This window comes from Homo sapiens, chromosome 11 (genome assembly GCF_000001405.40).
Source record: "Homo sapiens chromosome 11, GRCh38.p14 Primary Assembly".
Lineage (NCBI taxonomy): Eukaryota > Metazoa > Chordata > Mammalia > Primates > Hominidae > Homo > Homo sapiens.
The window spans coordinates 122,751,194-122,775,799 of record NC_000011.10 but is presented as its reverse complement, the minus strand read 5'-3'; the positions used below and the strand labels follow the sequence as shown (position 1 = coordinate 122,775,799).

General features: G+C 46.4%; 1 protein-coding gene across 4 annotated transcripts in view, besides 1 other annotated feature; it reads right to left on the bottom strand.

Annotated features, from left to right (window-relative positions):
* UBASH3B (ubiquitin associated and SH3 domain containing B) overlaps positions 1–24,606 on the bottom strand; it is a 158,752-nt gene that overhangs the window by 38,674 nt on the left and 95,472 nt on the right. The window contains exon 1 of one of the 4 annotated variants that reach the window (XM_005271712.4): positions 1,537–8,220. The exons of 2 other annotated variants lie outside the window; for them this stretch is intronic. In XM_005271712.4, the coding sequence (XP_005271769.1) occupies positions 1,537–1,781 (245 nt within the window). In that variant the 5' untranslated portion in view covers positions 1,782–8,220. Of the gene's footprint in view, positions 1–1,536; positions 8,221–24,606 lie in introns of those variants that run through there. One more of the 4 variants, XM_011543041.3, reaches the window with a different exon arrangement.
* Positions 20,378–20,531: a silencer, noted in NCBI's record as "fragment chr11:122625977-122626130 (GRCh37/hg19 assembly coordinates)". NCBI's record gives its function as "represses an EF-1alpha promoter that drives an FKBP-Casp9 reporter gene in an ReSE screen in HepG2 liver carcinoma cells {active_cell/tissue: HepG2}" and the evidence as "EXISTENCE:reporter gene assay evidence [ECO:0000049][PMID:32094911]".

Here is a 24,606-nt window from a genome sequence, read left to right as displayed (position 1 = left end):
TTTTCTTTTTTCTTTTTTCTATTTTTTTGAGAGAGTCTTACTCTGTCACCCAGGCTGGAGTGCAGTGATGTGATGATTGTGGCTCACTGCAGCCTCAACCTCCTGCACTCAAGCAATCCTCCCGCCTAAGCCTCCCAAGTAGCTGGGACTACAGGTGCACGCCACCATATTTGGCTAATTTTTTATTTTTGTAGAGACAGGATATCATTATGTTGCCCAGGCTGGTACTAATTATTATTAAGACATAGGGCTAAAAGCTCACAAGGACAAATGGTTTGGATCAATTCATTGCCTCCCTCTACCCACTTCCAACCACCACCAGGCTGGATCCATAATCTCCAAGTATTTTACAGACATCTTTGAGGATGAGTATCAGTGGATTAAAGGGAATGGCCAGAGCAGTGCAGCTATCATTCTCGCTTCTGGAGAAACAACTCAAAGCATGACTAACTGTAGCTAAGTATCCATAGGCTGGTTATAGCAGTGAAGCCCTGTGTACAAACTTACAAGTGGAGCTCTTCTTAAAGTATACACAGGTCTCCAAGAGCCAGATAGTTCTGGATTTGTATCTAGCCTTGCTATTCATCCATCCTTTCATTCATTCATGCATTCATGCTTACATTTATTCAGCAAACATCTATTGAATCTCAACTATTTTGTCAGCACTGTGCTAGGCTCTAGGAATACAGTAATGAACAAGACTTATGTGATCCCTGCCCTAAAGGAGTTTTCTGTCTAGTAGGCATGTAAATATTAATTATACAGATAATGATTTAATTACATTGATGTTAAGTGCCATGGAGGGAAAGCATAGGGGACATAAGAACATAGGACAGGGAGATCTAACCTGGTCTGAGGGGCTGGGGAAGGCTGCACTAAGGATGGAACATTTCAAGTGAAATCTGAGGGTGTAGACACATCTGGGTGGGGTGGATGGGGCGCGTGGTGGTCGTTGATGTGGAAAACACCTGGTACATCTATTCTATAGTGAGATGTAAAGATTAAATGAGCCAGTGTAGAGAAGGAGCCTTGGACAGTGTCTGACCTATCATAGGTGATCAATAGGTGCTCACTCTTGTCCCTTCACACTACGTTGATTCAGGATCCTTGGGAGAGAGAAGAGATGAGTGGGAATCCAAGTTACACTGACACTCTGCAAGCATCCTTTCCCCAACTGGCTGCTAAACTCACCCCCTCCTTCCTTGTCCTACCCTTCTATGGAGCAATTAGAATGACCGATGCTGTGAGAATTGCAGGGTTGGATTGGAAGGGACCTCAGAGGTCATCTGTGAACCCAACTTCTTCATTTGACACAAAGAAAAACTCAGGTGGAAAGAAGTGATGAAATGCGCTTAAAGCAGCCTGGCTGGGGTGATGGCTGAGCAAAGGCCAGCCTCTGTTGTTCTGCTCCACAGAAAGACAAGTTAAAGACTATCCCCTTCCCCTATGAAAGTCTGCGCACAGATACCAAATGATCAGGATAAGGAAGTCTGCACAGCTAATGAGAACAGCACTGTAAAAGGCAAGCCTACTTACAGGTTGATGAAGTTACGGAGAAGCAAGACAGACCCCTCTGCTCCGCTTGGAACAGCTGGTGCAGAAAAGGCTGGAAGCACAGAGACCCACACACGCTCATTCCCACACTTTGACAAGGTGCTCAACTGCTGCTGGGTTGCAGCCTTGTCTGTTTCCTCACGACTTACTAGACAATCAGAGGCCACACATCTCGCTTTTTTTTTTTCAGTACAGAAGCCGTGTATGCACAAAACAACACAAATCATGACCTTTTAGAGGTTAGAATCTCTGAGGAATTAAAGTCACCAAAAAAGGACCCATTGTTCCAAAAACAACTGGGAAAAGGAAAACGCATTTGTGGCACCAGACAATGTGCTATTTATATAAGGAATTCAATTTCTTTTTTTCTACACCCTTCCCCCAATGAAATATATCCGAGTGAAATTTAATTTATTTCTTCCTAGGCACTAGGAGTATCCCCTGGAAATGAAAGATCTAATTAAGTGATGGTCTCTGTAACTCAAAAGACAAGTTTTGGAAAGAGTTCAAAGAAAAAATTGAAAAAGATAATGAAAGGTTTGGGTGATGAGATGATGATGAAAGGCTAAGGAAATCCAAATTCTTTGTTCTGAAAAGCCGAGATCTGAGAGGTCCCTGGTTTGGTGGAAGGTTATCGTATCTGGTACACATGCTCCGGGGAGGCTTGGCCAAGATAAAATAAGCACAAAGGGCTCAAGTTAGCTACCAGGAGGGACTTTCTGACAGCCATGTACTTTAAAGTTTTTATTTTTATTCTTGAAAGCTTCAAGAAAGCTGTTACCTATCTGAAACAGGGGTGTGCAATTCTCCAGGCAGGAGGCTGCACGAGGAGTAAAATCTCATTTTCCCTAAGGTCATGAGCCATAGACAAACCTTGCTGGCCCTTCACCCACTGCCAGGCTGGCATCGATTTGGGCTAAGTGTGTTCCTACAACTCTGCCCACAGAACAGACTGAACATGGGCGCGGCAGAACATGTGTCTCCCTCTCCACTCTGCTGAGGAATGACTGTTGCCATACAGCACCCACCTCCATGGTCCACCCATGGGGCCAATGCCAAGGGCAAGTGGGAGTATGCGGAGTGGACCCTAAACCCCAGACTGAGTCTGCGCATCTGCTATCCTCCGGGTGACTCAGGACTTGGCAGAGAGTTTACTCAGACACTGTCTGAGACCTCGAGAAGATAAAGGAGGCATATCCCTTTAAACTAAAATGCACCCATTGGATGATAGCAACAAATTACAGCAATCAGTGATTTAAATGGAACCTTCTTGTTTAGAACTGGTGAAATGTGAATTGTTGAAGTTTTGTCATGTGTGAACCTAAATTTGACTTCTGATCCTAGCCCTAACCTTCCTGATTATGTGTAGGGCTCATTTATAGCAGAATATGAAAAAGAAATAGTGTAAAAACTCTCCTGCCTACTAAGGATGGAGAAGAACAGCACAAAGAAAAGAAACACAATGGCTAATTAAAAAAACCCAGGTGAGCAGTGGTCCTTCCCACAGGGGAGGGAACAGCAGTGCCCGCCAATGGCCTTGCAGTGCTCCGGCGGGATTCTTCCTACTTTCTGCCCTCAGCTTGGAGGATTTTTGAATTCAAGGTTGGTCTGGCCCCAGGGTCACAGAGATATCTCTCATGACCTTGAAGGAGGTTTGCAAGGAAAAGTCGCTTTCCTGTTAGTCTGCCTGAGACAAAGCAGCTTTCCTTCTTTCTGCTTTCCCTCCCTCCTCTTCCTCCTTCCCTCTCTCTCTTTCTTCCTTCCTTCTTTCCCTCCCTCCTCTCCCTTCTTTCTTTTCCTTCTACTCTCTTTTTTCTTCTTCTCCTAAGGAACGCTTATCAGGAAACCAAATGAAAACCAAAAACAAAACCCCTGAATTATCACGGGATGTACAAAGAGGAGGAAGGTATGGTCCCTACCCTTAGAGAGCTCACAGCCTCAGAGAGTCAGATACAAAAGCAGCTTCTTACAATGCAATATGCCAAGGGCCATGACGGAGACGTGCAGGGTGTCAAGAGAGCTCACGGTGGGCCCACCTCCGTAGTGGGGAGTTCCCAAGCCTGAGGCTCTCAAATTGTACACCAAGCTACTCTAGGTCAGAACGCCACAGCAGACTCAAAGAGGTGCCACTGGATATTTTAAATGTTATAAGAGAAACACAGCAATACTCATCATCTGTTGAACACCACATAAGCTTCTAGCTTGAGGTAGTTAGAGTTCACAATATCAGACTGGGCTGCATTCTTGAGGTCCTATCTTGGTGAAGCTGCAGTTTTAGCAACTGTTGTAATAAAAACCAAGTATCCAGCGAAAATCAATGTGGAACAGGCAATGAGAGTGGCAGTGCCCCAACTGATCCTAAGGCTGGGGCAGTTGTGCAGTGCCCCACAGACACACACATCCCATTAGTAAGTAGCTGTGGTTATTTAAGAATAAAAAGGTGATTATTATTTTAGTGTGTGTGTGTGTGTGTGTGTGTGTGTGTGTGTGTGTGTGTTTTAACACAGCTCTTAAGTTGCCAGGACATAAATACTTATTAAGGTGTTTAGATCTAACTACTAAATAAACAGAACTGTTGGTATTTTTGTTGGCCCACAGGCTCTATGTAAAAATTATTGGACACTAAGGGGTTGTGGGCTGAGAAAGTTTAGGACTCTTTCCTAAAAGAAATGATGCTTGATCTGGACCTTAAAAGCTAAGTAAGAGGCTGGACACGGTGGCTCACGCCTGTAATCCCAGCACTTTGGGAGGCCAAGGCGGGTGGATCACCTGAGGAGAGGAGTTCGAGACCAGCCTGACCAACATGGTGAAACCCCGTGTCTACTAAAAATACAAAAATTAGCCGGGCGTGGTGGCGTGGTGGTGGGTGCCTGTAATCCCAGCTACTTGGGAGGCTGAGGCAGGAGAATCACTTGAACCTGGGAGGCGGAGGATGCAGTGAGCCGAGGTCGTGCCATTGCACTCCACCCTGGGTGACAAGAGCAAAACTCCATCTCAGAAAAAAAAAAAAAAAGCAAAGTAAGAGCTGACTAGAGAAAGAAAGGAAAGCAGAAGGACATCTGAAGTAGAGAGAATGGCACCAGCAAACAGATGAAAGCAAGAGACAGCACTGCATGTGCAGGAAAATCCAAGCTTGGTAATGCTAGGGCCAAAACTGTAAAGCTGGATGAGGGTAAAGATAAAGGCCTTTGCAGATACCTGAAAACGTAAGTGGGAGATCACTCGCAAAGGCCTTATGCGTCACTTTAGAGCTTGGACCTGATCTCAAATTAAGCTAGAGAGGCATGTTCAGATTTGCTTGCATTGAAGGATACATTTCAGAGAGATAAGCTGGATGCTGGGAGGCTAGAAGGCCTTGACAATAGGTGGGAAGAACACATTGAGAGGTTGAACTGAGGCAGTGACAATGAGGATATTGGCAATGATGTTTCGATGGTTGACTGAATAAAGCTGAGACTGATCTGGCACTGCAGCTTGAATATTTAGTGGGTGGTGGAGACACTCTCTGAATGAAAATGCAGGAGTAGAAACAAGTTGGGGCTGGGGGTGACAGTGACAGTGAGCTTAGTATTGTTCCAGGCGAATAGTGGGACCAGGTATCATTAAAGAGACACAACCAGTCTTGTTAGCTGCCGTTTTCTTTGTTGGCTTGACTGCACTTTCTTGTCTCTTTGCGTTTGTAATCCAGACACTTCTTTTGGGCCATCTATTGAGCTCCTATTTCCTGTCTAAGGAATACCTTCTGCTCCCAAATCACTCAATGCTATGGTCAAAAAAAAAAAAAACACTTAAGACATCCCCGACTCAGAGGGATAGGTTATCCCAGACCAGCAGGTTCTCTAGGGGTGCTCAGCATATGCCTTCAGAAGAGAGTTCCCCTATTTTAGTGCCATTTGATAAAACTCAAATATCTGACACCTGCAGTAAAAAGCAAGAGACAAGATGTAGGATAACGGAATGAAAAACATATTCCCTCAAAATAGTAAGACTTTGATTCAATTAAGTAGAAAACTAATTGGTTGAGCTTTCCAGTTACTTGGAGCTGTATTGTCCTTGACTTTGCATTGCTGGTGGACTCACATGCGTGGCGGTAGGCACTGTACCTGCTCCATGCATTGGTTCTCTGTGACCAAGGACTTGTTCACTTAGGAAATGGGAAGGCACAGGGTCAAGCATGTAATCCTTCAAGTGGATGAAATTCCCTATGCAACCAATATTAAATTATATCTTTCCTTCATGTAGCTAAGATGATCTTACATTTGGAAACATTTAATACGAACTACAATATTTTAAAAAATGTTCTCAACCTCCTGGATACCACTTGTTAAATTTTCCACACCTAACAGTTTGAATTCAATTAAAAGATGACCTAATTAATCAGATGCCTCATTCTTCTCCCTCAAAATCAGTTTAAAAGTCGGCAATGAACTGGGGGATGGGTAAACTGAGGTAGAACCCAACTCCTCTTTTCCCTGGTTGAAGAGTCCAGCCACACAGTGGTCATTGTTGCCACAACGGAAGATGGAGGTATTCTTTTGGGGTATATTTGGAAAACAACACTTTTTCATAAAGTAGTTTTAGGTAGAAATACCACAGCCTTTTGTTGTGCTCTGTGAACTGCTGAATCAGTCATGAACATCCTCACAGGATGCTCTGAGGCTGCTCAACAGAGTGCCTGGGGCTGGCGGCCATCTTGAGAACAGAGGGCACACAGGTGACTCTCCATCTATTTGTTTCTCTAGTAGAAGAAAAATGAGGATAAGGGAGTCTATCATAATTGAGGGTCTTTATGTACCAGGCACTTCAGACTTTAAACCTTTATGGCATGGCATTGCTTGACCCCACCAAGTCTCATGTTGAAATTTGATCCCCAATGTTGGAGGTGGGGCCTGGTGGGAGGCGTTTGGATCATGGAAGTGGATTGCTCATGAATGGCTTGGAGCCAGTCTTCTGGGAGTAAGTTCTCACTCTTTGTTTTCACGGGAGCTGGTTGTTGAAAAGAGCCTGGCAGCTTCTCCCCTCTCTCTCTCCCTTCTTCTCTCCATATGTCTCCTTCCTTTGCCTTCTGTCATGAGTGGAAGCTTCCTGAGGTTCTTGACAGAAGCAGATGCTGGAGTCATGCCTCCCATATAGTCTGCAGAACTGAGAGCCAAATAATCCTCTTTTCTTTATAGATTACCCAGCCTCAGGTATTCCTTTATAGTAATAAAAATGGACTAAGCTACCTCATGACAAACTTATGAAGCTGGTATTGTTAGAAACCTCCATGCACCTGGTGGCTCTGCCCTGAACGGCCAGCAGTCAAGTCATCTCTGGTTGTCCCGTAACAGGGGTTGGTTTTAGACGTTGTGATTAAAAGTCCATAAATCAGTGTACTGAGTAGTTGTCAATCTTGAGAGGGTCAGATGTTTAATTTTGTTTTGTAAATATATGAGTAAATAGGCTGGGCACGGTGGCTCACACCTGTAATCCCAGCACTTTGGGAGGCCAAGGTAGGTGGATCACTGAGATCAGGAGTTTGAGACCAGCCTGGTCAACATGGTGAAACCCTGTCTCTACCAAAAATACAAAAATTAGCTGGGCCTGGTGGTGGCTGCCTATAATCCCAGCTACTTGGGAGGCTGAGGCATGAGAATCACTTGAACCAGGGAGGCAGAAGTTGCAGCAAGCCGAGATTGTGCCACTGCACTCCAGCGTGGGCGATAGAGTGAGGCTCAGTCTCAAATATATATATATACACACACACACACACACACACACACACACACACACACATACATATATATCTCTATCTTTTTCTTTTTTAATATACTCATATATATATATGAGTAAATACATGATTCAGTACCCAAAACTCCTGACTGCAATATGGTATTTGAAACCTCATGCCATCCAGACAGCCCTCACGGACACAGCATTTCTGCTTCTCCACAGAGCGCCCTCTTGACAGGAGAGTCATTGGCCGTGGTGGTGGGAAGGACACTGTCTGTATCTAGTCACCAAATGGAGCCAATCAGGTCTGAGATATCTACTTCTCTGTTCCCTGTACTTTCTCAGTTAAGCAATGTGGCAACAGGACTGAAGGCAGCTTGAGATTTGTGGAGGGAAAAATCTCTCCCAAGAAGGATGCATGAAAATCGTCCCAGATAGCAAACTACTCAGGAGGGCTCCCAGGCTAGCAGTCATTTTTATCCTATTACAGATGAGGAAACTGAGGTTTCAGGCCACACGACAGTCATGCAAGTCAACCGCTACAAGTCAAGAGTCATTTATTCAGCACCTGAGGTCCATGTTTAAGGTCCAAATAAACGCAGAGACATCATTAAGACATTGGCCTTGCTCTTGAGGAGTGCACTATGTGAAGGTCCCCAGGTTTGTAACTCAGCTGCTTCTGACTCCAGAGCAACATTCTTGCCCACCCTGCCTGTCTCTACAGTACCTGTCCCATCTGGCTGCTTCTCTTCCTCTGTGAATGCTGCCCAATGAGACCTGACTGCACAGTCAGAGCTTTGAAAATCTCCTTCTTAGTCCTCTGTGCTGTGTGGCTTGGGAAAAGCGAGCTTGCCTCTCTGTGGTAAAGTTTTGTCCCTTAGTTAACCGATAGCATTCCCTTGAAATACAAAAAGAGCATAAGGGGCCGGGCGTGGTGGCTCACGCCTGTAATCCCAGCACTTTGGGAGGCCGAGGCGGGTGGATCACGAGGTCAAGAGATCGAGACCATCCTGGCCAACATGGTGAAACCTCGTCTCTACTAAAAAAATACAAAAATTGGCCACGCATGGTGGCACATGCCTGTAGTCCCAGCTACTTGGGAGGCTGAGGGAGGGGACTTGCTTGAACCAGAGAGACAGAGGTTGCAGTGAGCCGAAATCGTGCCATTGCACTCCAGTCTGGGTGACAGAGAGAGAGACTCCATCTCAAAAACAAAACAAAACAAAAAGAAACCTTTACTATCAGAGATTACTTTTTTTTTTTTTTTGAGACGGAGTCTTGCTCTGTCACCAGGCTGGATGCATTCTCACTCACTGTGACCTCCGCTTCCCGGGTTCAAGCAATTCTCCTGCCTCAGCCTCCCGAGTAGCTGGGATTACAGGCATGAGCCACTATGCCCAGCTAATTTTTGTATTTTTAGTAGAGACGCGGTTTCACCATGTTGGTCAGGCTGGTCTCGATCTCGTGACCTCGTGATCCGCCCACCTCGGCTTCCCAAAGTGCTGGGATTACAGGCGTGAGCCACTGCGCCCGGCCTAGAGATTACTATTAATAGAAGTCTGGGCTCTTCTACACCCACAGCTGAGTCTCCCCCAGACTCCTGTCAGCAGGACTACTCGGGGGAAGGGGCTGGAGACATGGGTGGGTGGTGGGAGAGTAGAAGCACAACTGAGTCCAGAGGTAGGCAAAATATGCCCATGCAAATGCATGCCAGAGCCAAGCAAAGATGTTTGTTACTATATCCTATTTTATTTTATTTACGTATTTATTTATTTTTATGTATTTATTTTTGAGACGGAGTCTTGCTCTGTCACCCAGGCTGGAGTTCAGTGGCACGATCTTGGCTCACTGCCAGCCCCGCCTCCCGGGTTGACACCATTCTCCTGCCTCAGCCTCCTGAGTAGCTGGGACTACAGGCACCTGCCACCACGTCCGGCTAATTTTATTTTTTATTTTTTGGTATTTATTTATTATTATTATTTTTTGAGACGGAGTCTCGCTGGCTCCGTCGCCCAGGCTGGAGTGCAGTGGCGCGATCTCGGCTCACTGCAAGCTCCGCCTCCCGGGTTCACGCCATTCTCCTGCCTCAGCCTCTGGAGTAGCTGGGACTACAGGCGCCCGCTACCTCGCCTGGCTAATTTTTTGTGTAGTTAGTAGAGACGGGGTTTCACCTGTTAGCCAGGATGGTCTCGATCTCCTGACCTCGTGATCCGCCCACCTCAGCCTCCCAAAGTGCTGGGATTACAGGCATGAGCCACCGCGCCCGGCCACTATATCCTATTTTATATCACTTGTGCTGCTTCTCCTAATTGGCAACTATGTCTATATTCCTGGCAGAATAAGATAGGCAGTTCATGATAGCTCTTGACTCATGGAGGCCTCCATTTCACTTGGAGATGCTTCTCCCTCAACTCATTCCACTGAGAAGGACCCTGGGTATCCACAGCTGCTATCCTGCCCCTCTCCTTTCGCTTCTTCCCTTAGGACAGGCAGCTTTCACAGCCTAGTGAAAGGCCATCACTTTTCTGCAGTGCACCAGCCACGCTGGGTGATTAATACAGGAGACTGCATACCTCAGGTAAGGCCTAACCTGTTACAATTTTAAGCTGAGCAGGAAATGATGTGCAGAGTGGCCACAGGCAATGGCATAGGAGTGAGACTATGTTACATGAAGCTGTGTAAAGGGAGGGTGAAGACACTAAAGCCACAATCATAGCCCAGGAGCAGCCTGGGCACCAGGTCCAGGACTTAAAACATACGTGAGCTCCCAGGCATGAGGCTTCCAAAAGACTTATATGGAGATAAGGGCTAGGCACAAAGCATCCAGTAACCCAATGGGCTGAGAGCCAGAGATCCATCAGGCGGTGGTTGCCAGAGTGGTTAATTAATTATCAACCACTTCTAGTCTGCTAAACTTCTTCCTCCACTGAGGTGGAACTCAACCTCATGAAAAAGTTGCCACTCCTCTTCTAATGTACCTGCTGTGTCCTGTCATGGAGGGGTGTGAGCAAGCAGCCAGGCCAACTCTTTGTTCCCCTTCACCCTCTAAGTCACTTGGATGAGCTGGAATCCTTGAGTCTCAGGTCAAAGCAAGAGTCCCACTCTCCAGTGTCAAAGCACTGAGCCCAGGGCTCAGTGGGAAGCGTCGCAAGTGCCCGTCCTTCCCTGGAAACCCAGTGAGAAGTGGCCAATAAGCCTCTCCTTAGGCACAATCATGGAGCTCTACTCCAGACCCTTGGTGCCTTCCAGGCTGGAATGGGGCTTCTTGGCATTAGAGGAACTTGAGGATATTGAAAATTTCACTGCCTCTCTGTCTTAGGGCCTGTGCCCCTGACATTTACCTTGGCTAAATCAGCAGAGGCTTTCCTTCTTATCTTCCAAAGACAAAAATGAATAAAACCGAACCTAGTCTCTGTGGGTGCAAGTCTAGACATGAAAAAAAAAAAGGGCTTTTATGACTATAAAACAAAAAATCCTGTTAATCTAAAAAGGATAGCTTCCCCCTACATTTTTTTTTTTCTATGCAGCAGAACTGACTTGCTTCTAGGCTTTTGCTAAATACCCATTCCTCTTGGATTCTACCTTTTTTCTTTGGCAAAGGTTCAGTTCCACCCCACACTAAAATCAGCATGCTTCCTTTTTCTCTTCTGTTGGCTTAGGCTGGTTCCAGGAATGGAGTCTACTCCGTGTGCAGAGCAGTTGGGTGTGAGGATGGGCAGAATTAGAGCCAGCCTGATTCCAGGCACTCCAGTGACCAAGGATGGAAGATGCTGGTAGAGTAACCAAACTAATTCCCTGAATTCACGTACTACAGCACCTCTCATCTACCACTGTCTGTTAGTTGAGACTTCAGTTTCTGATACGGTCACTCTTTCAGCTACCAGTGGCCAATAAGATCCACGCAATTCAGTCCCACCTTTCATCAACAGAGGTCAAGTAAGTGTTGGGAAGCCTTGGGGGAATAGCTAAGAGCTGCGCAAGCCAAGGAGGGGAAGCAGTGGTATTTCAGCCAAGCCTTCCAGGCTAAAGCAAAATCAGGGACTGGCCACATACAGCTGCTCTAGCAGGTTCTTGCAGGAGCTGGAACATGGGTATGTGTCTTTTTCCCAAAGGAAGTCATTTCTTACTTGGTGCTCTCGTTTTTTTCGTTTTCAGAAAGGAAGTGATTACAAGCCCACAGGGAGATCGAGAAAGATGTGACATCGATAAAGTGTTTTGAGGTCCTCAGAAACAACCGTAAGTGATAGTGATTCCTTGGCTGCAAAGGATCTTAGGACCATCCTGCCTATTTCTCCTTATGGCTAGATAAGACTGTACTTTAGACCATCCATGACTTTTGAAGGATTTTTCCTCTTCTCATGGATATTAAGAATAGGAGATCCAGCAATGTCTCTTGGTTGCCTAATGGCCCTTGCACTCAGAAAGTTTTTCCACGAGTCCAAACTCCTTCCAACGACACTCAAACTTACGCCACCCTTTTCTGTACCCGATAGAGTTGGTCACTCTTTCCTACATAATAAGATTATTTATTCTATCACTTTCATACAAGGAAGTCCAGCTACTTTTTATCACCAAGGCCAGTAAAATAGGCTTGCAAAGAGCCTGGGCAGTTCAGCTGAACAATCTCATCTCCGAAGTCTTGCCCCCTCTCCCCTAGCCTTCTCCCCATGAGGCTGAGGGAGGGCAGTAGAGAAGCCTGTCAGTAAATATCAACCATAATGGCTCTACACATTTCCTTTAGAGGAAATGAAACTAATGGAGAAAGATATATTGATCACAAAGACTCAATTTCAGAATCAGTCTCCTGGTGGTGAACCCTTTCAGTTAGGTGGGGTTAATGGCCTCTGCTTTCAGCTGTTGTCCAGTGTGAGAGCTGCACATCCCACAATCAATGGGATAGCAAGCCTGCTGGGGACATTACCACCAAGGCCAGCCAATGGGGAGAAAAAGGCTCTGGGTTTTTTTATAAAGCTAATCAGAGAAAGGGAAAAAAAATTTCCTGAGCTATTTGGGGGCTTAAGTAAGTCTTCAGCTGAAGGCCTCCAACCTGTGGGGGAGGCCTTTCTCTCCTATCAACAAGACTCTGCTTTCCAACCCATAAAGAGGCTGTTAGGCAGCCCTCCTTAGGGGGTGGTTAGCAGGGAAAATGCTGTTTAGGTTTCCCGATGTTTTTATGTGGCAGGGCCCAGCAGCCCATATAGGAGGCCTTGTTTTGTTCTCGCTAAAAAGGGGCTGGAACTCTGGCCTCTGCTGTAGGGAGGCAGCAGTTTGTAATTGGGAAACCAGCCATTAGACCATGGGTGGTGACATAATAAGACACATTTCTCTTTGCCTCTGTTATGTGTCCCTCTAGCATCTAGACAATGCCTTTCTGCTCCCCAAGATCAATGAGTTTTTGCACAGGGGCACAGGAGGGACCACATTCTTGGGAACAAAACTCTCATTAGCGATGGGACTGTGGACAAGTGAATTATCCTAAAACTCACTTTCCCAATCTCTTAAATGGCGGTAATAACGGCCTTACAGGGTAGAATAATGATTAATATCACATAATGTATTTGAAGAGCTCAGCACAATGTTTGGCATATATTAGGTACTTAACACAAATAACCTTTGCACATATGCCTGTGCATTATTATCTAATCAATCTTTGCAATTTTCCTGGAATAATGTCTGTAAATTCCATGCTAATAGAAATATTTTGAGACTGGGGACCAGAAGACCCAGATTCTTTCTCTGCTAAAATAATCTACAACCATCTGGTAAGGTCTTAAGGAATGTATGGGATTCAGGGAGAGAGAAAACCTCCTCAGGTAAGGCGATAACATAAGGAAAGGTGCAGAGGTAGAAACCATCCGGGAACGGGTGACGGTGGCAGGAGTCTACTGAAGAGCGCACATGACGCAGATTGTTGGGAGCCAGGCAGGGGAGTTTAGATTTGATCAGGAAGAAAGTGGGGAGTCAATGAGAACTCTCAGCAGGCGTGGAGAAGAAGAAAGCAACATTTCCCACTGTTGTCTTCTAGGCTGTCAATGGAGGGTGTGCATTTTTGCTGAGCGGAAGTATCCTAACAGAAGAGTGATAGCCCTGAGCTGGTGTCCACAGTCAGGCTCTGGGGAGAGGCTGGCCAGGGCTGCCTTCTTCCTCGCAGATCCTCGGATCAAGTCACTAGCGCTATCCCTGAAGCCTTTACTCCCCAGTTGGCAGAGTAGTAACATCACTGCCCACCTGAATATCTCTGGAGGGAGTAAGTTTCAAAAGCTCTCTCATTTGTATGCAGTGAACTATTATTATTTCCTGAGAAACAGAGGATCAGAAGCCTGTCTTACCCAAGGACAACAGCAAGCCAGGGGCACGGTGATTCCAGAATGAGGTCACAGATGTTATTAGGTCGGTGCAAAAGTAACTGTGGTTTTTGCCATTGACGGTAATGGCGAAAACCGGCCAGGCGCGGTGGCTCACGCCTGTAATCCCAACACTTTGGGAGGTGGAGGTGGGCGGATCACTTGAGGTCAGGAGTTCGAGACCAGCCTGGCCAACATGGTGAAACTCCATCTCTAATAAAAATACAAAAATTAGCTGGGCGTGGTGGTGCATGCCTGTAGTCCCAGCTACTCGGGAGGCTGAGGCAGGAGAATCGCTTTAACCCGGGAGGCAGAGGTTGCAGTGAGCAGAGATCATGCCACTGTACTCCAGCCTGGCAACAGAGTGAGACCCTGTCTCAAAAAAAAAAAAAAAAAAAAAAAAAAAAAAAGGATCTGGGAGAAACAGATGAAAATGAAGAGTGATTTCAGGTTGCAGATGACAACAGAGACTAGCTGTTTTTTCTCTTATTTCCACCCCCTTTTCTCTCTAACCCACTAGAATCAGCTAAAAATACTTAAACTTGGGTAATTTTTAGTCCTTCTGAAACGGTTTCAGCCCAAAGCTACATAGGAGACTCTGGCTAACGGCTTTGGTGGGTCAGAGAAAACGTATGCAGACCAGACAGAGCCACTGTCACTCTTCTGTAACTCTTCTTGGTAAGTAATTTGTTAGCAACACTTATTTATGTTTTATTTTTTGGAGTTGGTGTCTCACTCTCACCCAGGCTGAAGTGCATCAGTATAATCACAGCTCACTGCAGCCTCGACCTCCTGGCCTCAAGTGATCCTCCTGTGTCAGCCTCCTGTGTAGCTAGGACTACAGGTGTGTGCCACCATGGCAGGCTATTTTTTTATTTTTATTTTTGGTTGTTGGTAGAGATGGGGGTAAAGAATATGTGAGTAAACACAAAGAAGTCACGGACTTGGATAACTAAGCTGAGGCCTTTCTACCAGGAGGATGGGTTAGTATCATGAGACTCTTGAGAAGACCTTCCAAGGAGAGTGGGGAGATGCCACTTAAGAGAAACCCTCCTCTGCCACCTCGGCCCTGCCAACTGACACTCTCGTGAAGATTTGAAACTCCTCCAAACCAGACTATAGGTCAGATTCTACCAAAGGAAATACCGTCATGGCAAAAACTCCTGCGCAGTCAAACCCATCCTGCTGGTCATTATTTCCAGAGTTATCAGTTATCCAGGGAGACCGAAATCCAGGGTAGAGAAACAACTGGATGGTCTTGGGGTTCATGGTATAAAGAGATGACCAGTATAGTTAGGTATGGAATATGGTATGACAAAAAGAGATTTCCAGTTTACACTGCTGCCATCCAGGATTCAACGTAAGGCATCCCATCCTACTTTTTAAACTCTTCATCTCCAAAAACATGTTTAGACTCCTTAGCATGGCATGCTGAGTCCTCCATGGCCTCACATCTGTCTCCTTCTTCAGTTTCACCCTCAAACATTCTGCTCCCTGGTTCTTCTCTCACACTTAAAACCTTTCTCTGGGGCTGGGTGCAGTGGCTCACACCTGTAATCCCAGCATTTTGGGAGGCCAAGGTGGGTGGATCACAAGGTCAGGAGTTCAAGACCAGCCTAGCCAACCTGGTGAAACCCCGTCTCTACTAAAAATACAAAAAAATTAGCCAGGTGCGGTGGTGCATGCCTGTAATCCCAGCTACTTGGGAGGCCGAGGCAGGAGAATTGCTTGAACCCGGGAGGCGGAGGTTGCAGTGAGCCAAGGTTGAGCCACTGCACTCTAGCCTGGGTGACAGAGCAAGACTCCATCTCAAAGAACAATAACAAAAAAAAAAAAAACTTTCTCTGTTGGTTCCTTTTCCTGCAAGGCTAACTCCACCCTCAGTTACCTGGCTAGCTCCTGCCTATCCTTTAACACTCACTTGCATTTCATTTCCTCCAGGAAGTGGTCCCTACCTGTCTGGGCACCCTTACCAGCCAGGCGGTTGTATCATAGCACCTTCCAAATTATATTTAAAAGATCTGTCTTTGCAATAGACCATGAGCTACTTGAAGCAGAGACCATTTCTTGTTTTCTTTGCATCTCTAGTAGCTGGCACATAGTAGGTGTTAAAATTTTAAAAATATGAACTTCCTGAAGATGTTAAAGGTATATGTATATCAGTGTGGCAGACAGACCCTTGGTGACACCTTAGTAATCCTAACTTCTGGTGTTCACTCCTTTGTATAATTCCCTCCCCTCAAGTGTAGGTGAGACCTATGACTTACCTCTATATGGCAAAGGTGATGGAATCACTTGTGCTATTCCATTATGACACACATAAGACACATCTAAGTCAGGTGTCTCCAACCCCTGAGCCACAGATGGGTACTGGTACGTGGCCTGTTAGGAGCCAGGCTGCACAGCAGGCAGGCAGGCGAGTGAGCATTACTGCCTGAGCTCTGCCTCCTATCAGATCAGTGGCAGCATTAGATTCTCACAGGAGCACAAACCCTACTGTGAACTGCACGTGCAAGGGATCTAGGTTGCAGGCTCCTCAGGAGAATCTAATGCCTGATAGTCTGTCATTGTCTCCCATCACCCACAGATGGTCCCAACTAAGTCAGGGGTCTCCAACTAGACGGTCCCACCTAGTTTCAGGAAAACAAGCTCAGGGCTCCCACTCATTCTACATTATGGTGAGTTGGTTGTATCACTATTTCATTATATATTACAATGTAATAATAATAGGAATAAAGTGCACAATAAATGTAATGCACTTGAATCATCCCCAAACCATCACACCACCACCCGGGTCAGTGGAAAAACTGTCTTCCACAAAACCGGTTCCTGGTGCCAAAAAGATTGGGGACCACTGCTCTAAATGACTCGCTTTCCTGCTGGCCAAGGAGAAGCAGCATGTTGTGGACTGCCTATGAAAAGACAGCCACGTGGCAAGGAACTGCAGGCAGCCTCGTTAGGACCTGAGAGTGGCTTGTAGCCAACATCCAACAAAAAGCTGGGGCCCTCAGTCATATAACCAAAAGGAAATGACTTCTGCCAACAATGTGGGTGAGCTTATAAGTGGATCTTAGTCAAGCTTTCTGGTGAGAACACGGCCTGGCCAACACCTTGACTGCAATCTTGTAAGACTGAGCAGAGAACCCAGTCAAGCCATGCCTGGGCTCCTGACCTACAGAAACTGGGAAAATGTGTGTTTTAAGCCACTAAAGTTAGAGTGCTGAGTCATAAAAAGTGAAAACACCTAGCTTTTCAGGAAGAGTGAAATAGGAAAGGAAGAGTGAGCATTGGCTGAAATGACCTGGTATGACCAAGCTCAGCACTAAAGGGTAACCTAGGCATTTAATGCAAGAGATGGAAGATCCCAATCCCATAACCAGTGGAAATTGCTGATCTGAATTCATTGCATTTCGCTCCTGCCATCAGTTAAAACTTGATTTAAGTCCTTCTAGGCTGAGAGTTAAAGCTTGGCAACTTAAGGGAGGGAGTAGAGTGGCGTGGAGTGGCAGGTGCATCTACTTATAATCGCACAGACCTAACCCATCTAATCTCAGTCCCCACATATGTAAACGAAAGGAGATTCACACCAGCTGTTAGGGTTATGTGACATGCTTAGCTCTGAGTTTGGCACAGGGTCGGTGTTCTACGGCCACTGGGTGCCCCCTCCGCCCCCACCACTGACTGCCCTTTCCAGCTGTCCCGACTCTAAGCAGGCTAGGCCTGTCTGGGAAGCTCCTGGAGGGAATCTTTTGGTAAAACAGTTCCTGGCAGATGCTCTGGAGGCTTACTCTGCAGCTGAAATCTCAGGAAATTCTACTCTGCCCGTTCCACCACTGCTAAGCTGCTAAGAAAGGTTACGCTCAATTTCCTGAAATTATTTACTGCATCCCCCTTTATGGGAGTACTTTACATATTATAAATGGGACTTGACCAAACACGCCAGGAAGTGAGAGGGGTCCAAAACTCTCTAGCCAGCCGTGTGTCTGCTGGCCCAACTACGATACCCCCCAGACCGGCCCCACCCCCGGCCACATCTTCGCCTTCCTTCTGGGCCTCAGTTCCCAGCGCTCAGGGAATCTGGCAATTTGGCACTTGGTAAAGACACCTAAGCCCTTGCCAGACGAAGGGCCCCCAGGAAGCTTCGACTCAAAAGGAGTGGTTGAGTGTTTAAAGAAGGTCTTGTCGGCCTGGTGCGGTGGCTCACGCCTGTAATCCCAGCACTTTGGGAGGCCGAGGCGGGTGGATCATGAGGTCAAGAGATAGAGACCATCAACATGGTGGAACCCCATCTCTACTAAAAATACAAAAATTAGCTGGGTGTGGTGGCAGGCGCCTGTAATCCCAGCTACTCAGGAGGTTGAGGCAGGAGAATGGCTTGAACCTGGGAGGCGAAGGTTGCAGTGAGCCGAGATTGCACCACTGCACTTCAGCCTGGCGACAGAGTGAGACTCTGTCTCAAAAAAAAAAAAAAAAAAAAAAAGGGAAAAGAAGGTCTTGTCTTCCCATTGGGCTTCTGAGCACTCAGAACTCTTACCCCTCCTGAGCCCTCCTCCCTCAATGCCTTAGGAGGGAGGAAAACAGGGACTGAAAGGTGATTATTAATTGTATACTATGGATTGAGAATATACAGCCCATTTGTTTAACACAACACAGCATGAAATATCTAGATGTATCAGGTATATGCTGTCTTCATTCATTTGTGCTTCTACGACAAAGTGCCATAGACTGGGGTGGCTCATGGACAATAGAAATGTATTTCTCACTGTTCTGGAGGCTATCGGACCAAGCTCAGGGTGCCAGCATGACTGAGCTCTGGGGAGGGGCCCCTTCCAGGATGCAGACTGCCAACTTCTTATAGCCTCACACAGTGAAAAGAAGGGGAGAGAGCTCTCTGGGGTTTCTTTCACAAGGGGACTATCCCGTTCATGAGGACTCAACCTCCTGATATCATCACCTTGGAGGTAAGGATTTCAGCATATGAATTTGGGGGGAACACAAATGTTGAGTCCATAATATCTACAGTAACATGCCCAGTACTGCATCGGGACATCCCTTGGTGTGACAGTAAGTGCATGTGCGTGTAGGCAAAGATACTTAGGTTCTGATTTTAGATCGAATAATAGTATATATATTAAGATACGATATTTAGGATACGATGCTCACAGAATTTCAGGCCTTGGAGACTAAGATCACTTACTTCAATCCTCTCACGTTACAGATGAGGAACTAAGACCCGCGGAGGCAAGTGATTTGATGGGGACAGGAAGCCAGGTCTCCTAACTCCCCAAATTGTGCTCTTGGCACATTACCATGCTGAGTCTCTGTCTTTTTTGCTTAGACTGTGCTTCTTAATTTCCACTGGATCGAGTGCAACCTCTTTGGTCCAGTGTTAATTTGCTGAGAGGCTTGAGGACCCCCTTCATAGGGAGCAGCCTAAGAGATGACCACTCAGCTTGCCTTTGGCTCTGCAGTATGGTCATGGCAGGGGAGATGGGTTGTTCCTGTTCACAGCTTAGCCCTCCTTGCCTGAGGTCTAACTTCCTCCTTTGACTTCCTCCACAGTGGCTGCCCCTAGGGCCTACCACAGCCCTCCACACTGGGGCACCACAGCCTTTGATAGAAGCTAGAACCATCAGTAATGTGAAAGAGGCAGAAATGGCCCCTTCCCTGACATTTAGGAACCAGACACTGGAAATAAATGGGGTGTAGAGGGGATGAGGCAGGAAAAAAAGGCAGTGTAAGAAGGACTGTGTATCTTGCACTGTACTAGGCACATTTGCTCATGTAGCAATATTTTATTTAATCCTCAGGGCAGGCCTTGAAGGCAAATTTTAAAGACCAGGAAGCTGAGGCTTAAAGAAAGAGGCAGTATTAAGCTTCAGCTTACAAATGTGCAAGGGTAAGAATCCAGTTACTGGCTCTAATTATCGAGATGTAGTCAGTTTCACATTTCTGGACTACAAAGAGGACTCAATTCAGCTCTAGGTAACTCTCCATGGTTGTCAAGGCCAAAAGCTCTTGAGAATTTTCCTCATAGTTCATTCTTATTGCCACACTCAAATGCTGCCCCTGAATACAGTCAGCCTTGATTCCTGTTAGGCCAACACGTGTTAATGCTTATGCCTAAATCGGGATGGATTCCTTCCGTCCTAATTAATTGACCCTCTTCCATAACCAGCTCATGAACTGCCCAGGAACTCCTGTGTTCAGTGCCTTCCGTGGTAATGGGGAGAGGAACACTGCAATGTTTAGGTACAAAAGACTCCTGTAATTAGCTCTAAGCCCCAGGAAACAGACAATCAAATTAATCAGTGAGTATGGGAAAAAAGCAGATTATAATTAATTACCTATGTTTATGCCAGGGTTATCTTTAGCCATAAGTTTTCTTTTTTATCTTAATAGATACCCAATCTTAAAATTATCGGACCTCGGGCCTGAGTCGACAAAGCCTGAGTTGACAAAGCCTAATTTGACTTCTGTCCCCAGTTCAGAGGAGGATCCGAAATGAGTCAATTCTCCCTGCCTTGCTTCCTCCTTACTGATATGGCCTCCCTCACAGAGTGGGAGGGAGAGATAAGCAGCTCAGGGCTGAGAGCCGCTTTGGTACAACCCAGGAGCAGAGAGCATGCCTTTTCCCTGCAGAGCCATTTTCATTCATGGTGGAGGCTTTTTTGAACCTGGCCAGGCAAAGCTCCTCGGTGTCAGACCAGCACTCCATGTGGCCACACCCTCCTGTCCCGGTTGTTCCCTCTGCTTGCCAAAGCGATAACCTGATCCTCGCTTTCCATAAGATAGAAGAAAATGTTCAAGTCTTTTCCACAGAAGGCTATAAGCCAAAAGGCCAACTGCTATGTGGGTTACCGGAGCCTTCTGCATGGGCGAGGTGGGAAACCGAGACTCTGAGAGATGGGAGTGGAGCTGCACGTCCTTGTGCTCATGTATTAAACTGAACTCCTGGTGACGTGCAATGTGAGAATGACAGTGGGTATTAGCTTTCACTACATATGCTTAAGAGCTCTGGGGCATCATTGAAACCCACACAGAGATTATTCAGCGTTGAACCATGAAAAGAGAGAACCGTGTAGTCTGACTTCTCTCCATTGCATGGTGGAGGGAACCAAGGCTTAGAGAGAACAATGGCTTCTTTAAGGTCCCAGTGACTTGGCGCAGAGCTTACATTTAAGTCCGTGTCAAGTGCCCATTCCACCGCTCCAACGTGAGCCTTCTTTCCACCCCTTTTGACTATCGTGCAGCTCTAGGAGGAGGACCGAGCTGGTGGTAGAGTCAGGGGTCTAGTCCTGCTCTGTCACTAGCGGTATGACCTTGGGCAAGTCCTCCAACCTTCCAGGGGTCATGAAAAATGAAAAGGGGCTTACGTGGATCTCAAGGGCCCCTTCCAGCTCTGATAGCCTATGAGTTTCTGTGTGCTGCGGATTCTCTTCTTTTTCTGTCCACCAGAGGGAGGAAGTTGGGCGGTTTCCTTAACCTTAGATCACCATGAGTGGCTGAGGTGTGGGCTGATGATGAAGAACAGCCTTCAGGGAGTAAGGGGTTCATGGAGAATCCTCAGTGGGAACCAAGGCCAGATGCCAAAGCAGGAATCACACTCACAACACCCAATGCAACATAAAGCAGCCATTTCAAACTCTAGCACCTCCTTCCAGGTGGCAGCCTCAAGCCTAATGCTGTTCATCCCAGCTAGAAGATACCAGACACTCACTATCCAAGCCACTCATGCATGGACTGACCATCCAGATGTCCTCCCAGATGTAATACAGGTTGGGATCCTCCAATTACTGTTCTATGTTCACTAGTAAAGACCCCAAAAGAATGATTCTTCAGGAAAATGAGTTACCAATTTTAGCTCATCAGGAAGACAGTTTCCTTGAGCAGAAGACAGAGAAGCCTGAAACATCCGTCTTCACTTCTGGAGTGGCATTGATAAGCCAGAAAGGCAGGCTCCCTTTTTCCTAGGAAAAGACTCATTTCCCCTGTAATTTGTCTTTGTTAGCAATTGAGGGTAACCTTTGGAGTTCTCCTCACTATTGACTGTAAAACCATTCCATTAGACGTGCAGCGGCCAAAATGCTAACCACTAGCCACATGCTGAATAAAACTGAACATTCAGTTCCACATCACACTGGCCATGTTTCAGGTGCTAGTGGCTACCATGTCAGAGAGTGCAGATATGAAACCTTCCCATCATCACAGAACATTCGGCTGGACATCGCTGCACTAGGAGTTTCACAGGGAAGGCACTTGATTTGTCGAATGCATTTATTGAATTCATGGATAGACAGTTTAGATAGGGCAGGGAATACTGTAGTATTCCCTGGTGAAGGCATGTTAATCCTTCAAAATTATGCAGCAGGTTTCTTTTAAGAAACTCAGGGTTGGCCGGGCACGGTGGCTCACGCCTGTAATCCCAGCACTTTGGGAGGCCGAGGCAGGTGGATCATCTGAGATCAGGAGTTCGAGACCAGCCTGACCAACATGGAGAAATCCCGTCTCTACTAAAAATACAAAATTAGCCGGTGTGGTGGTGCATGCCTGTAATCCCAGCTACTCGGGAGGCTGAGGCAGGAGAATCGCTTGAACCCGGGAGGAGGAGGTTGCAGTGAGCTGAGTTCGCCATTTCACTCCAGCCTGGGCGACAATAGTGAAACTCCATCACCAAAAAAAAAAAAAAAAAGAAAGAAAAAAGATAAAGAAACTCAGGGATTTTTCTTTTCTTTTTTTGAGGTGGAGTCTCACTCCATTGCCCAGGCTGGAGTGCAGTGGCACAATCTCGGCTCACTGCAACCTCTGCCTCCTAGGTTCAAGCCATTCTCCTGCCTCAGCCTGCTGAGTAGCTGGGAGTACAGGCACACGAAACCACACCCATCTAATTTTTGTATTTTTAGTAGAGACGGGGTTTCACCATGTTGACCAGGAGCCAGGCTGGTCTTCAACTCCTGACCTTAGGTGATCCGCCCGCCTCGGCCTCCCAAAATGCTGGGGTTACAGGCGCGAGCCACAGCACCTGGCCAGAAACTCGAGTTTTTTTTTTTTTTCTAGTGTTCATACTTGAAGATGTTTTTTGAGCATTCATATGTATTTTCCTAGGCTGAGCGCTACCAGGAATATGAAAAACAACAACAATAAGAGAAGAGGCAGCTGAATGTATTGGGAGGAACAGAGGATTGGGAAAGAAAAGACCCAGGTTCTAGCACGGGTTCCAAACAGAAGGGCAGGTGAGGTCCATCAGCCCCTTTGAGTCTCAGTCTCTTCAGTCGGTAAAATGAGGGTAATAATAATACTATCCTCAAAGGTTGGTTGTTTGTATGAATCACATGAAAATATAACGGAACACACTCTGGAGACTATCAAGGGTTAGATGTCTGTGTTACTGACCTTGCCCTCAAGTCGCTTTCGAGTCCCACTGTCATAATCCTTGAGAATATTTTAGCTGCCTCTTTCAACGGCTCTCCCTGCCTTGGGATCATACTTCATTCCATCATGCATACCTCCAAGAAAATAATTCTGCCAAAATACCACTAGGATCATGTGCCAATGCTGCAAAGACTAAAATGGATCCCTACTGCCCGTAAGATCAAGACCAAACTCCTTCTTGTATTTGCTGCTGCATCGTGCCCTGTTTGCTTAGGAAGCTGCTACTTCATTTTGCAGGAGCTTCCTGAGGCGAGAAGCCTTATTCCTGTTACAAGTGTGACCCAGGTCCCACCCATGCCTTTCCTTCTTCTAGCTCTGCAAATTGCACCTGGTCCCTTGAGTTCACTGTCTCTAACTCGCGCCCCCTATAACCCTATCATTCTTAATGCCCACCTGGCCTCGCACATTATAACATGTTCTCCCATGTGGACTTTTTTTCTGATTGTTTTGTGTGTCTTATCTCCTCAATAGCACTAGACAACACTCAAAGAGAGTGTGCTTAGGCAGTGCTTGGCATCTTAGGGGTACCAAGGGATGGGGAGGGATGGGGATGGATGGTTGACCCTGAAGGCCTGGGGTTAGATGGGGCCAGATTGATAGGGACAGCGAGGCAAGACAGGAAGAAAATTTGGTTTGAAAAGACAGTTTAGCTTTATACAGGTAGACTATACTATTCCTTCAATGAAAACCCTGTTTTAGTATAAAAATTTCAAATACCTTTTGTTTATTAAGTTAAAATAATTAATTTTCCCTTTTTTTATACTTTAGGTTTATATAATTCCAGCCCAGCCAAAAGGACATAGAGTTTTAGTTACTTGTGGCTCTTCTTTGGAGAGCTGACTACTTTTGGTTGTAGCAATTGGTCTCACCCTAGATCAAACCTCCATGACTCATCTAGAGGTTTCTCTCACTGGAGAAGGCTGATGGAGCTAACATGAGATACAATGATGGATGTGATGTGGAGCACAGTTTCCTAAAATCAGCATTCTAATGAATAGTGGAGCACTATGGTCAGCCAGGATTCTCTAGGAAAATAAGCCAGGCTCCCAGTCCACTGCAGAAGGCCTGGGTGTGTGGCTCCAGACTCCATTCCCTTCATAATAAACACCATCTTCCCAGGGGAGAACAGGTTGCAGCCAGGCAGCATTGCCTGTGTGAGGCCTCAGCCAGCACAACAGTTCTGGCCGAGTATAAACAGAGCACCCAATTAAAACACCTAATTATAGGGTAGGCTGGAGCCAGGAGGTGGGCTCTGTTGGTGGCCCTGAAGCCGGCTGCTGGCCAGGCTGCCAGCATCTCCCTGACAAGCCACATCCAATTTCAGACTGCAATGAGCCTCCAATGGACAGATGACGACAGAGATGGGAGGGCAGAGAAGGAGTGTGACACACCTCACTGCTTCTTAGCTCCTGGGGCGTGGACCGCATTCTCCCAAGGAGCATTCAGGAGGCTTCTGGGAAGACACTCCTCAGTGCAAGAGAATTGGAATTTCACATTTTAGGGACCCGATTATCTCATCCACACAGTGAAATAATATCTAATTTTTCCATTATAATAAGATAAA